General features: G+C 47.7%; 1 protein-coding gene and 1 long non-coding RNA gene across 2 annotated transcripts in view, besides 1 other annotated feature; one reads left to right on the top strand and one right to left on the bottom strand.

The window, feature by feature from the left end:
• Positions 1 to 15,221, bottom strand: part of DLGAP2 (DLG associated protein 2) — a 970,849-nt gene that overhangs the window by 399,093 nt on the left and 556,535 nt on the right. The window lies entirely within an intron of this gene.
• Positions 6,777 to 13,350, top strand: LOC286083 (uncharacterized). Its single transcript, NR_111948.1, has 3 exons — positions 6,777 to 9,459; positions 12,156 to 12,351; positions 13,181 to 13,350. It is a non-coding gene; the product is annotated as an uncharacterized LOC286083 (long non-coding RNA).
• Positions 10,523 to 11,373: an enhancer, noted in NCBI's record as "H3K4me1 hESC enhancer chr8:1246267-1247120 (GRCh37/hg19 assembly coordinates)". NCBI's record gives its function as "activates a minimal SCP1, AML or CMV promoter by ChIP-STARR-seq in naive H9 embryonic stem cells {active_cell/tissue: H9 hESC(naive)}" and the evidence as "EXISTENCE:reporter gene assay evidence [ECO:0000049][PMID:30033119]".

Below are 15,221 nucleotides of genomic sequence, written 5' to 3'. Positions count from 1 at the left end.
ATCATCCCTTGTGTGTGATGAGTCACTTCTCTTCTGCTGCTTTTGGGATTTTCTCTTTATCCCTCACTGGTTTGATTATAACATGTCTTTTGCAAATCTCTTCATGTTTATCTGACTTGAAGTTCATTATGCTTCTTGGATTTGTATATTCACATCTTTCCTCAAATTTTGGATGTTTTTGGCTTTTATTTCTCCAAATATTCTTTCTTTTCATTTCGTTCTCTTTTCCCTTTTCGGAGACTCTTGTAATGTGTAGGCTGATCAGCCCGATGATGTTCCACAGACCCTCAAGTTTCGGCTCCCTGTTCTTCCTTTTCTTTCTGCTCCTCAGGCTCCACAATGTCATCTGTACCATATTTAACTGTAGACACTTTCCTCTACCTGCTCAAATCTGCTGCTGAACCTCTAGAGTAAATTTTTCATTTATTTTTCTCCAGAATGTCTGCTGTTTTCTTTAAAAAAAAATAATTTGGATCTCTTTAATTTTCTTCATACATTGTTTCCCAGTGTTCTTTAGTTTTGGGGCATATTTAAGAAAATTTTAAAAAATATTATTTAGGGCCAGGCACGGTGGCTCATGCCTGTAATCCCAGCACTTGGGGAGGCTGAGGCGGGCAGATCATCCGAGGTCGGGAGTTCAAGACCAGCCTGACCAACATGGGGAAACCTAATTTCTATTAAAAATGCAAAATTAGCCTGTCATGGTAGCGGGCACCTGTAGTCCCAACTAGTCAGGAGGCTGAGGCAGGAGAATCACTTGAACCCAGGAGGTTGAGGTTGCAGTGAGCTGAGATCACACCACTGCACTCCAGCCTGGGCAACAAGAGTGAAACTACGTCTCAAAACAAAACAAAACAAAAAAAGATTTCTTTTGTTGTCCTGAATGGACCATACTTTCCTGTTTTTTATATGTCTTTTAGTCATTTTGTTGAAAACTGGACACTTGGATATTAGAAGGGGCTGACTCTGGAAACCCTTCTTCTGGTTTGGCTGTTTTTGATTGTTGAAGGCTGGTGTAGTCTGTTTAGTGACTTTCCAAACTATTTTTTGAAAACACTGTATTATTTGCCGTGTGCAGTCACTGGAGTCTCTGTTTCTTAAGGTTGTTTCAAGCTAGTATGTTGACAGATATCTCATTAAATGCCAAGAGCTACAAACGAAAAAGACAAAAACACCTTTCCCATTCTCTGCAGGCGTTCTGTCCTGAGGCACTTCTTCCACACGTACCCTGGCTTGCAACGAGCCCAGGGACCACTTGAGGTGAAAGCTGCAGGTCTTCCTAGGCCTTTTCTGAACACGCACATTGACCTGGTGTATGCACAGCTTTGTGCGTTCCCCCATGTACATGGGTTCTTTTTGGAAAAACGGTGGTAAAATACTCATCTTAACCATTTCGTGTGTGTAGTTCTGTGGTGTGTTAAGGACATTCACACCATTGTGCCATTGTCTCCAAAATGCGTCCTTTTCCTCATGTGAAACTCTGTACCCATTTCTAACTACCTAGTTCTCCTTCCCTCCAGCGCCCAGTCCCCGGCAGCCTCCTTTCTACTTTCTGTCTTTATGAATTCGACTGCTTTCGTACCTCATGTGAGGGGAATCACAGTCACTCTCCTTTTGTGACGGGCGAATTTCATTTTGTGGAATGTCTTCAGGGTTCATCTATATTGTGCCATGTGTCAGCATCTCATTTCTTTTTAAGGCTAAATGTTCTTCTTTCACCCGTCTAGGCCCCATTTTGCTTATACATCCATTTACGTGTCTATTGCACACGTGGGCTGCTTCCATCTTTGGCTACTGTAACTAATACTGCTTGAGCATGAGTATACAATTATCTGAGCCCTGCTTCCACTTCTTTTGGGTGTATGGCCAGAAGTGAAATTTCTGGGGCATAGGAAAATTCCATGTTTATTTTTTGAAGACTCACCATATCATTTTCCATGATGGGAACATCTTTCTATATTCTCACCAAAAATGCACAAGGTTTCTAACTTCTCCACATCCTTGCCAACACCTGTTCTTTTCTTTTCATTGTTGTTGTTTTACAATGACCACTCTAATGTGTGTTGGCATTTCCTTGTGGTTTAGCTTTGTATTCCCTTAATAATTAATGATGTTGCTGTGCTTATTGGTCATTTGTGAATCTTCTTGGAGAAATATCCAAGTCCTTTGCCCATTTTTGAATCAGATTATTTTGCTGTTGTAGTTATTTAAATAGTGTAGGTATCAGTCCATTTTCAGATTGATATATGATTTGAATTTTGATATATGATATCTACTCCCATTCCATCCCTTTCATTCAGCTGAAAGTGTCCCTTAATGCACACAAGCTTTAATTCTGATGAAGTCTAAATTATGTATCTATTCTTTTGTTGCTTGTACTTTTGGTATCCAAGATCACTGTCAAGTCCAATGTCATAAAGCTTATCCTCTCTGTTTTCTTCTGAGAGTCTTACAGGTTTAGCTCTTATGTTTAGGTCTTTTATCTGTTGAGTATTGTTTATATGTGGTATAAGGTATGAGTTCAGCTTCATTATTTATATGTTGATATCCAGTTTCTCTAACATAAATTATTGAAAACACTGTTCCTTCTCCATTGAATGGTCTTGGCACCCTTATCAGAAATCATTTGACAATATACACCAGGGTTTATTTCTGGACTCTCTATTCTGTTCCATTAGTCTAGATGTCTGTGATTATGCCAGCACTTAACCACACTATTTTGCTTATCATAGCTCTGTAGTAAGTTTTGAAATCAGGAAGTGTGAGACTCCAACTTAGTTCTTATTTTTCAAGATTGTTTTGAGTATTTGGGGTCCCTTGTAATTCCATATAAATTTTAGGGTGGATTTTTCTATTTCTCAAAAACCCACCATTAGTAGTTCTGACATCTTAACAACAGTAAGCCTTTCAATCCATGAACACAGATGTCTTTCCGTTCATTAGTGTCTTTAATGTCTTATAACAACATTTTATAGTTTTCAGTGTACAGCCTCTCTCCTCCTTGGTTAAGCTTATTTCTAAGAATTTTGGGTTTTTTTGACACGATTATAAATGCAATTATTTACTTCCTTTTTAAATTGTTCATTCTGATAGTATTTGGAAACACTAGTGATTTTTGTGTGTTAATTTTGTATGCAGACACTTTGCTGAATCCTTTTTTATACCCTTGTGTAGGTGTGTGTGGGTGGGGGGGAATCTTCACAGTTTTCTACATATAAGATTATGTCATCTGCAAATAACAATTTTACTTCTTTCCAATTTGGATGATTTTCTATTTTTTCTCCCTCTCTCTTTTTTTTTTTTTTTTTTGCCTAATTTCTCTGTCTAGGACTTCTACTACTATGATGAGTAGAAGTGGCATTTCCTCTTCTGAAAAAGGAATTCAGCAAAATATCTGGATATAAAATTACATGCAAAAATTAGTAGTTGTTCCCTATACTATCAGAATGAACAGTATAAAAGGAAATTAAGAAAATAATCCCATTTATAAAAGCACATAAGTAGAGGGCAGGCAAGGGCACACTTGCCTTGTTCCTGACCTCACAGGAAGAACTTTCAGTCATCTGCTGTTGAGTGGGGCGGTAGCTGTTGTTACTCAAGTGCTCTCGAATGTCCTGATTTACTGAAGGAACTCTCCCAGCTTCTGCTCCCAGGCTTTAGGTGGTACACAGTATGTTTTCAGTGTAATTTTTGTCCCAGCAGGTTGATGGAGGCCTGCAGTGTTTATGGTAGGTTTTCAGTGTAATTTTTATCCTGGCAGGTTGCCGGAGGACTGCAGTGTTTCAAGCAATGTCCTTAGTTTCTCTGGTCTGAGTTTCAATTTGGGTGAAGCACAGATGAGCACCCTGCATTCGTCCTTCAGGCCACACCCAGACAGAACAGAAAGACACACAAATGTATGAATAAAGACCTTACAGACACCCAGGGATGACTATAAGCAGTTTACATCTCATGAAAACTGTAAGGACTAATTTCTTTTAAGCCAAATGTAAAATAAACACACGAATTATCTAAACCAAACAAAATAATGCTGAAGATCATAGCTTCAGTAGCCCCACAATATCCCAGAAACAACAGCCACTGAAGACAGAGAACTGCGGAAGACCAGGCACCTCACATATGCTGTCTCTCATTTTCACAACTCCCTAACATTGAGAGATGCTACTTTCATTTTTTAAAGGAGGAAACTAAACTAAGAGTCAAGAAGTCACTTGCTTAGGTCACTGAATGGGAAGTGACAGAGCAAGCTTTTTTACCCAGGCTGCTGACTCCAAAGCCCAGGCTACTCTGGTGCTTCTGAGAGAGATTCCTGGGGTCACCTCCAGGTGGGAGGTCACCTGCCAGCCACTGCAATGGTGGAAACCATGTATGATACCTCCTGCACAGTTATTCTTAGCAGTATTTGTCCAACTCGTATCTGTCTCACTTCAGCTGGGTATATATATGATTACCTTATGCACGATATGCATGAATGACAGATGATTATATCAAATGCGATTGCAGTGAACACAGACTGTGCCTTTTCAGCTTATCCTGTGCAGTATTGAAGGGTGTTTAGCATTTATTATAATTGATGATGATCCACAAAATATGGATTTACAAGTACAGGACCCCAAAATGTTCATGTAGCAAGGGGTACTTAGCTTTCGATAAATTACCCTGCTTGCTTTTGTCGATCATCTTCCTTCATTCTCTCTCCTGCCACTTCATCAGAAGCACTTCCGCACTGTATTTATCTTTAAGGTGTAGCCATATAAATTTAATTATTATTGGATTAAGAACAATTGTACTCATCTTTTTTCTCATCCTACTTTCTTCTTTTAAAACAAAGTTGGCTTCAGACCCTCTGTTGTTAACAACATGAATCATCACTGAAGCCGTTTTCCTTACATCTCCTGCTTTTGCTGAAAGTGTTTAATGTTTGTTTTTGGTACATGTGGGTTGTCATTTTTTAAAAAATCTCATGTACAACTTTCTGCATACGTGAAACCTGGGCACTTGAAATTCCTCCTCGTTCCACCAGGTTCAAAGGCTTCCGGAGTGAGACATCTGTGTCGTCTTCATCATCAGGGCCAGCTGCACCTGCCACCCTGGGTGTGGGGCCACGGTGGCCGGTGTCCTGTGTCTCCATAGCCCATGCTCAGGGCTCCTACAGGAAGAGTCCAGCGTGGACACAAAAGCTGTCAGCTCTCAGTTCCTTTCAAGGACACGCTGGCCTGCTCCCATGGAACATTCCAGTGGCTTCACTTGCAATTTCATGAATATTAAAATGGCCTCTGCCCTGAAGAATGCAGTAAAACCCCTCTCCCCCAATTCTGCTGCTGACCTTTGCAGTCTGAGAAATGAGCTGTCTGGAAAAGGCTGAGTGGCTAAGCAGCCTTCCAGGGTCTGCACTCTCCTCACAAATGGAAAAATTACCTCTTCCCTTCTGTGAGAGTGCATCAGCGGCTCCATTTACGAGGGAGGTGAATGGCCTCAAAATCCCATCTCCCTCCACCTCCCAGGCTCTGGCCAGAGGCAGGCCATCCAGACCTGCAGGGTGCCTCCCGGGAGTCCCGCCTTCTCCTCAGCGCAGCGCAGGGCTGGACGAGCACCGGATGCAGGATTAATTTAGCCCCTATGAGAAGCAAAACCCCAGAGACCAGAGGAGAAAATGCCTGGGAGGAAGCACCCGTGCCTCCCAAGGAGACCCTGGGCCTTAGGGCTTCCTGCGGGCTCCTGAGTGTTGGGGAGTTAGGAGTGTGTTCAGAGGCATGGATGGAGGACTTTCTACTGATTCTCCGTTAAGAGAGAGTTACACCTTTAAAAATAAAATAAATAACGCATTAAACCTAATGGATAAGACCAGCGCAGCGCACAGCCCAGCAGGGTCTGCGAAGCTGAGATCTTATTTCCAGGTCGAAGCTCCTTCCCACCCATGGGAAATCTTGGAGGAAAACACTCCTCTTCTCCTTCCTTTTTTTTTTTTTTTTTTTTTTTTTGTTTTTGAGACGGAGTCTCGCTCTGTCGCCCAGGCTGGAGTGCGGTGGCGCGATCTCGGCTCTGTGCAAGCTCCGCCTCCCGGGTTCAAACGATTCTCCTGCCTCAGCCTCCCGAGTAGCTGGGACTACAGGCGCCCGCCACCACGCCCGGCTAGTTTTTTGTATTTTTAGTAGAGACGGGGTTTCACCGTGTTAGCCAGGATGGTCTTGAGCTCCTGACCTTGTGATCCACCCGCCTCGGCCTTCCAAAGTGCTGGGATTACAGGCGTGAGCCACCGCGCCCCACCCCTTCCTCCTTTTTATTCATTGGCTTTTTCCTCTTCCAAGGACGCTCGCTCCCCTGCGAGGTGGAGTCCAGGAACATCCAACCATCTGTGTCCTTACGAAGGCCCATCCTCACAGCCTGCAGCCGACAGCTAAGGAATGACTCCTGCGGCGATGGAATCTCCAAGGACGTGCATGTTTTACTGAATCTACCAAAAGCACGGCAGAAGGAGGCGAGTTACAGCCAGACGTTTTGGAAAGTACCTAAGCGCTGTGAACAGCAGGAAAGAATCGACTCCAGCGGCGCCGTCAGGCGTGGGCCTCCTGGGGCGAGGGGAAGAGCCAAGCTCTGGGCAAGGTCGCTCCATGGTCCCCAGGCGGGGCAAGAGCCCTTCCCTTCGACCTCACTGCCCGTTACCCGTAACTGGGGTCATATCACAATTCTCATAGGACGATCTGATGACTAAATAGAGGACTCACGTAAAATGCTGAGTCCAGTCCCGGGTATGGAGCAGGGCTCGGGAACCTACAGAAAATACCGAGTCCGGTCCCAGGTATGGAGCAGAGCTCGGGAACTCACATAAAATACTGAGTCCAGTCCCGGGTATGGAGCAGAGCTCGAGAATTCACAGAAACTTCCGAGTCCAGTCCCAGGTATGAAGCAGAGCTCCGGAACTCACAGAAAATTCCGAGTCCGGTCCCAGGTGTGGAGCAGAGCTCGGGAACTCACAGAAAATGCTGAGTCCGGTCCCAGGTATGGAGCAGAGCTCGGGAACTCACAGAAAATTCCGAGTCCGGTCCCAGGTGTGGAGCAGAGCTCGGGAACTCACAGAAAATTCCGAGTCCGGTCCCAGGTGTGGAGCAGAGCTCGGGAACTCACAGAAAATGCTGAGTCCGGTCCCAGGTATGGAGCAGAGCTCGGGAACTCACAGAAAATTCCGAGTCCGGTCCCAGGTATGGAGCAGAGCTCGGGAACTCACAGAAAATGCCGAGTCCCGTCCCAGGTATGGAGCAAGGCTCAGGAACTTATAGAGCTTCTGCTTCCCTTTCCCTTCCCAGCTACAGGCACCCTTTTCCCCCAGCACACACAGGTTGGAAAAGAGTTTAAGAACAGAATGCCTAGTTGTTAGTAATTCATCACGACACCTGACTTAATTACCAAAGATTATTTTAATGGCCGTGCATACTACTCTCCTAGAACTTCTGTCCTTCCTCCCCCCTCCCTGGGACCTTGGCAGAACCCTTGCGGCAAATGTCGTGTTGTGTTGAGGGGGCCTCCCGCGCTGCCTCTGCTGTGGTCACAGCCCTTCCTGGAGGCATGAGGAAATGGAGCCGGCCGTGGCTCTGCTGCCGTGGGAAGGGGAGGGGTGCTGTGGCGAGAACAAGCCCAGAGCCTCCTTCAAACATCAGAGGCCTCCTGACATCCTCTGCAGGACTCATCCCAACCTGGAATCATCTCCAACTTGTTTATTTGTAAAACGTGAAGCTTATGTTGGGCCCTTCCTTATCCTCTACCCTCTCCCAGAGTCCATCAGGCAGGGACGCCCATGCACAGGCAGGATCGGGACCATCAAGATTGTGACAGCAAGAAAAAGAGTGAAAGTGTTCGTGTCACACACTTGATGTCCAGCATGAACCTCAGACCTATCTTGAGCTGATCATCTTCAAAAAAAACTTCATTAAGAAAAAAAAAAAGTGGAGGTTGGAGAGTGTTCTAAATCTCAAAGCCCATCAGTTGCTGTTGAGAGCAGAACTTGCAGCAGAGATGAGCTTTTCCATGCCTCCTAGGCCCCGGAGCTCGAGCATGATGCCCAGGCAGAGGCCTCTCATGGAGGAGACAGCAGCTTCCATGGAAGGGTGGGACGTGGTGCTGTCAGGACAGGGTCCTGCAGGAGGGCTCAGGTCCAGCTCCCACGTCAGGTATCGATGGGAGAAGGACCTCAAACTCAGAGGATCCACAGCACTGGCGGAGCCAGAAGGACTTGGCTAACCATGGGACACAGCCACGCTGCCTATGAGAAATGGCATGGCCTCTTCCATGGCCAGAGGGCGGGGGGCAGACAGTTCTGTTACTCAGCTGCAGAGGCCGCACAGCCAGGAGCTGGAAGCCACGTGGGGCCAGACAGGGACGCGTTCCGCATGTGAGGGTGGTGAGCCCCACCAGATGAGCACAGAGTGGACACCGAGCCACAGGGAGGACGCTGAGCTCGGTTCATGCAGCAGGCTGTAGGGTTTATCTACGCGGCCTCACTGGCTGGAAATACTTGCTTAGATAATAAGACAAGGATGAAATCATACATGGAAAATGAACAGAACTGCAACATGCCACACACACCGTGGTTTTAGGGGCCGCTCTCGCTGTTCCTGTGCTGTGTCCCTGGATGTGAGGCCCGTCCTGTTCATGGTGCAGTCTCAGAAAACACGAGGGATGCCACCATCCCCGTCTCCTAGGCCGACGTCCAGGAAGCTGCAGCTTAGATGTCAAGGAGGTGAACCTCAAAGCTGGACTCTGGGTTCTCACCAAAAACTGGCCCCCTCGCCTCCAACTCCGATTTGTGCTGGGTGCTGACCCCACACACGACAGGGTGTGCTTCGCGCCGGGACTGAACAGGGACAGGAGGGACGGTCAGTACTTGACAAGTACGAAGCATGGCTCTACGCCCCCAGGTGCTTCACAGAGGCAAGATGGCATTCACCTCCTGTTATGCATCTGGGGAGGGCAGAGCCGTGTTTCAGCCGTGCAAACGCCAGTGTAGGGAGGGAAAACGCATCTGGTAAAATCCAGTCCAGGGCCCCTTTCCTACCCTTCCCCTCAGTCCCCTGGAGGGTCCAAGTACCCACTCCAGGGGCCAGCCCACGTGTATGTGTATGTATATATATATGTGAGTGCATCTACACATTGTACACATATGCACACTTTGCACACAGACACACACGTATAACGGTGCTATTGGCTTTGAACATTGCTAGGGGCTGAATTTTGTTTCCCTGACAAATCGATATGCTGAACCCAATGCCCAGTGTGGCTGTGTTTGAAGTGAGGATGTAATGAAGGTAAACTGAGGTAATGAGAGGGGGACACTGATCTGAATGGATCAGGGTCTTTCAGGAAGAGACACCAGCCTGTCTCCCTGAGGACACAGTGAGCAGGTGGCCAGGAAGAGGCCCTCCCCAGGAGCCAGGTCTGCCCACGCCTTGATCAGCCTCCAGAACGGTGAGAAAATTAATTTATGTTGCTTAAGCCGCTTAGTCTATGGTGTTTTGTTGTGGGAGTTCCAGCAGATTAAGACAAAGTCATTTGGGTTGATTTTCAAATTTTACTTACATAAGAAAGTTGCTTCAGATCCATTCTTGACCTCCTTTAAAAGTGCAGTCCAGGGGGGATTGTAGATGATAATAATTACGATATCATTTGGTTTTATTCTGAGGAGCTCACAGTACTTTAAAAAAATAATTTAAAAATATTAGATAGGGAATAGCATTATTGCTTCTAATTTGCAGCCAACATCAGAAGACAAGCTTTTAAAATGAATATCCCAGCAGGAACGAATCTGCTAGTTACTGAGCCAAAGGTGCGAGTGAATTCTGAAAACCGAGTTGCAGTTGGCATGGACCGTTCCTCCCTATGCGTTTATGCTCACCTCATGCAACCTGGCATTCCTAAGATTCCTAAGATTATCACAAAGAGTATTATTAAACATCATCACAATTTTATGGAAAAACATTAGATGAGATCCACATGTGAAAGAAGGGCCATGAGAATCTGTTTCCAGATTTCACACTTGTTTATTCCCTTGTATGGTGGAGACACCACTGGAAAATCCAGGGAGGCCAGACAGACCATCCATGCGGCACCCTGGGTGGCCTCGGGTGGGGGCCTCTGTGGACGGTCAGGACTGGCATCTATGGCGGAGCCCAGAGCTGTGCCGCCCTGCACAGTACCCACCACCACTCTGAGCCCCTGAAATGCCATCTTGCATTTGGTCAAAATCATACTTAATATTGCCTGCTTCTTTGTACCATACACATTTAGATGTCAGTAATCCAAATTAAAAGTTACCCACAAGGCTCACATTCTCTGCTGGCAGCACTGGTCTAGACGGATGGCAGTAACAGCCTTTGCCCACCTTTGCTCCCTTGGGCCCCTTTGGGTCATTCAGCACGAGCCACTGAGACAGACGTGAATGCCGCAGCTCGACCCTGGCCCTGGGAAGAGGTTCTCCCCCCGGGTTCTCCCCCCGTTCCTGCCTCAGGCCTGTGTTATTGCCCATGGGAGTTCGCTGGGACATTCGAATTACCAGCACCTGTTCATGAGCTGCCACGGCCAGCGTTATATTGCCTCTCAAGACGATCTTTGCAAATAGAAGTCTTTAGTTTAAAGTTTTTATAAGGGATTGTCTTGCCCTTTTGACATTCTAGTTCCCCTCTGGCATGCATGCATGCTTGTCCTGGGGCCCTCGGCATCTACCATGGCCGAGGTGCCTGCTGAGCCGTCCCACACGCTCAGCGCCTGCCATGCTTCTGCAGGACATGTGGACGGGCAGGACTGTGGCCGAGGTACCTACTGAGCCGTCCCCCACGCTCAGCGACTGCCACTCTTCTGCAGGGTACGCTGCCTCTCAGCACTCTCCGGGGCCAGAGGAGCACACTCAGCTCCCTCCTGTGTGTCCCCATGAAACCGTATTTATACCCCAGTACAGAACGTGTCACACTGTGATCCAGGGCTTCCTGGTGTCTCCACTGAGGGACGGCGACAGTGCCAGGTGCGGGGCCATCATGTGGAAGGACGCGGCCTCTGTAGGCTGCAGGACGACAGACCAGGAAGCGGACGCATTTGGTGTATGGGGGGTTTAGATAACTTCAATTATATGACTTTTACTTGATCACTTATAAAGATGCTGAAATAAGATCACATCCTGAATCCTCCCTATCTCGCGTGGTGTCCGTTCATGCACGCCACATTTCTCCGTTCATGCATGCCACGTTTCTCCTCCCTGTCTCACGTGGTGTCTGTTGACGCCTGCCACGTTTCTCCTCCCTGTCTCACGTGGTGTCTGTTGACGCCTGCCACGTTTCTCCTCCCTGTCTCACGTGTCTGTTCACGCCTGCCACGTTTCTCCTCCCTGTCTCACGTGGTGTCTGTTGACGCCTGCCACGTTTCTCCTCCCTGTCTCACGTGGTGTCTGTTCACGCCTGCCACGTTTCTCCTCCCTGTCTCACGTGGTGTCTGTTCATGCCTGCCACGTTTCTCCTCCCTGTCTCACGTGGTGTCTGTTCATGCCTGCCACGTTTCTCCTCCCTGTCTCACGTGGTGTCTGTTCACGCCTGCCACGTTTCTCCTCCCTGTCTCACGTGGTGTCTGTTCACGCCTGCCACGTTTCTCCTCCGTCTCACATGGTGTCTGTTCACGCCTGCCACGTTTCTCCTCCCTGTCTCACGTGGTGTCTGTTCACGCCTGCCACGTTTCTCCTCCCTGTCTCACGTGGTGTCTGTTCACGCCTGCCACGTTTCTCCTCCCTGTCTCACGTGGTGTCTGTTCATGCCTGCCACGTTTCTCCTCCCTGTCTCACGTGGTGTCTGTTCATGCCTGCCACGTTTCTCCTCCCTGTCTCACGTGGTGTCTGTTCATGCCTGCCACGTTTCTCCTCCCTGTCTCGTGTAGTGTCTGTTCACGCATGCCACCTTTCTCCTCCCTGTCTCGCGTGGTGTCTGTTCGCGCATGCCACGTTTCTCACCACATGAAATACATGATTTAAAGCTCTCACTGAAGCTCTGGTTCTTAGAGAGATGGCCAACAACCTCTAGACTCTAGAACATTCTCATCCTAAACAGCAGGGGAGACATGTTTTTCTGACGTACGTTTACATGTGTTAAGATTTGTTTGTGGATACAAATGCATGCCTTTCACAGGTGACTGGGGATAACTCACTACCTGGAGGTCCATGTCATTCTCATCGCTGTGATTGCATTCTTGCCGCATTGCTGTAAAAACGTTTCCTCTCCCCAACTTCACGAAAACCACGCAGCAAAGAGGGAGAAGAGGAACAGCGCTTGCCGGGAACCTGCTCTGTGCTGGGAACCTGCTCTGTGCCAGGCACAATCTGAGGTATTTCCGGCTCCTTGAGTTCCTTCCTTAGCACAGGCCCTGAGGTCTCCAGTTCCCATTATCCGGGATGCTCAACTCCACCTTGGGATTGAATGACCTCCACCCCACCCCAGTGCCACACAGCCTACACAGACTCAGGATTCCAGCCCGGCCTTTCTGAGCCCCGCATGAAACATCCCCTCCGCAGCACTGTCCTGTGTGGTTCGGGGGCCGCTCCGGTGCGGCTGTGCACCCACCACACCATCTGCACATCAGTGGCACGTTCAGGGACTCACTTACCACGTTTCCCGCAAGCGAACCCAAAGAGCCTTTGACGCTTTAAGTGCCTCCTTTGTAAAGTGGGGAGGAAAGGGCTGTGTTCTCTGTTCCCAGGATTTGCCAAAATTCCACGTCCAGTAAGACTTTGCACAGATCATGAAAACAGCTTTTATGCTACCCCAGAAAAATATTTATTCATATAGAATCCCAAAAAGAATTTAATAAAACGCACACTCTGCAAGATAGGCAGCGACAAAGATCAGCACGAGCACCAAGGCTCTGCTTCCTGGAGACACACATACAATATGAGGGCTAAGAAATCTCCAATGATAACACCTCCCTTGGATCTGGATAATCATGACATATTTTGTTTTTGGAAGTTACAAGGCACATGCAGCCAGCGTGCCAGGGAGATTAAAGGAACGCTGAAAGTCTCTTTAAGGCACTCGGAATTTATTTATAAAGTTATAATTGAGGTTCTAGAAAAGAACCCAAGATGGAACAAGGGTCATATCTATTCAACAAGAGTGCTGAATTTATGTCCTTGATTTCTAACCTCTCGGTCATCAAGGGTCTCAGCCCACCTGCGCCACGAAAGGGAGTCAGAAACCCGGGGGCCGCATTTCATCCACCCCAACTCCACCCTGCAAAGCACCCTTCTGAAAATCAACACTCGGGAAAGGTTTACAGGCATCAGGCGAACAGCAGGTAAAGCCAAAATAAAAGGATTGTTGGCAGACACACTTCCGGGGATTTCATTAACGCGCTCGGTGACCTTCAAATCCGAGTTGCACTCCTCCGCATCCGGCTGTCTCCTGGCAAAACCAGGATAATAACTCTCACGTAGCCTGCAGGCATGTTGTGACGCTTCATTAATTAAGGCTCCTGAAATCGTTTCCAATTCCCAGGCAGGTGCCATGAGAAGGTGTGTAAATGATGGCTTCTGCTGTGAGCAAAACAGAACATCTCTTCCCACTTCCCTGTCACGAGGGGACGATGGCTGGGACACACCCCACAGCTCCCCTGCCCGGCGTCACCTGCCCTTGGGCCCACAGAGAGACTGGGGCCCGGAGTGGGTTTTCTTCTATTTGTTTTTAAAGGATCCAAATTGGCTTTTACGAAACACTTCAAAGCCCTTTGGGATTTATAGGCATAATCCTACCTTGACACATGTTCCCCTGCCTTTGTGGAGAGCTGTTTCCAGGAGCGGGGGCTGACCAGAGCCCCTTCCACTTCGGTGGGGCAGGATGGCTGGGGTGCTCCAGCAGATCACGGTGGACAGAGAGTGTGCTTCCCGCTGACGTGGCTGGGGGCCCACAGCCTTTCCTGGCTTCCCTCCCCTCCTGGCGGCCGGAAGAAGCTTCCCAGGGAGAACTCCAGAGCCACCAAGGAGGGCAGAGCCTGCAGCTGCCACGCTGGGACTCCGGGCCCACGGTCACCAGGAAGCTCGGTTTTTAAGGCTCTGTCATCTTCAATATGCAAATGTGCTGTGTGTATCTATCCCATGGAAAGAAAGAGACGGCATGGAGGATTCGGGGTTTTCAGGTTCCTGCTTTCAGTCTGGTTGGCACTCACTCTTGCCGCCATGTCTGTCTGCTGCAAGGGAGGCCAGAACACGCAGACACCCAAGGAGACGAGTTTGAGAACAGCCCACAGTCCCCACTGCAACATGAGCCCGTGGTAGTAGATTTCCTGTTTGCTGTTTGCCTTTTAAAATTATTTCCTTTCCTTCTGCTCAGCGATATCACCCTTCTATTAACAATGATTATATGGCTCCTTTTTTCCTCAAGTGAAGTTTAAATATCTTGTAAAATCTTAATTTATATCATATCCAATATACAAGTCATCAACTGCTACATAACAAAATTAGTAACTTAAAAAAAAAAGTTTTGTTTTTTTTTGTTTTGAGACAAGATCTTGCTCTGTCGCCCAGGCTGGAATGCAACAGCACAATCTCAGCTCACTGCAACCTGCACCTCCGAGGCTCAAGCAATCCTACTGTCTCAGCCTCCCAAAGTGCCAGGATTACACGTGTGCACCACCACACCCAGCCAAAATAAGCTTTTATAATCTAACTCTCTCACACATACAACATTATTTCAATGGGATGGCTTTATATTTTAAACATTTGGTAACAGATAATAAAAAGCCTATGTACTCTTAATTTTAAAATTCCAATTCGACATTGACCCAGTGATGCCACGACACAGGTGGGACGCCACACCATCCTCGCTGTAAAGAGCTCACAAAATCGCAGGAGAGAAATGCACCTCCATCACCAATCACACTTAGAACGTGACGGTGAGAATGTGTTTCAACACATGGTCTCAGTGACTCATCAGAAAAATGGGGAAAATAATGCCTCAAACAGGAGACACCAAAACAACCTCACCAGTCACTCGTGGACGACGACGGAGAGTGCCAATCACAATCTGGCTTCTCCGAGGTTCTAATGTGAACATGGCATTTTTTCCCTTAATAAGACAATGTTTACCAGCCCAAGTATAATGTGATCAAGACAATTAAATTCTTGTGAAAGGCCTGTAACCTGAATGACTGGCAAGGGGAGAGGTGGGAGGGGATGTGTGGGCCCTGTGGGACCCTGAGGGAAG

Source organism: Homo sapiens, chromosome 8 (assembly GCF_000001405.40).
Source record: "Homo sapiens chromosome 8, GRCh38.p14 Primary Assembly".
Classification (NCBI taxonomy): domain Eukaryota; kingdom Metazoa; phylum Chordata; class Mammalia; order Primates; family Hominidae; genus Homo; species Homo sapiens.
This window is presented reverse-complemented; position numbering and strand designations above follow the sequence as displayed.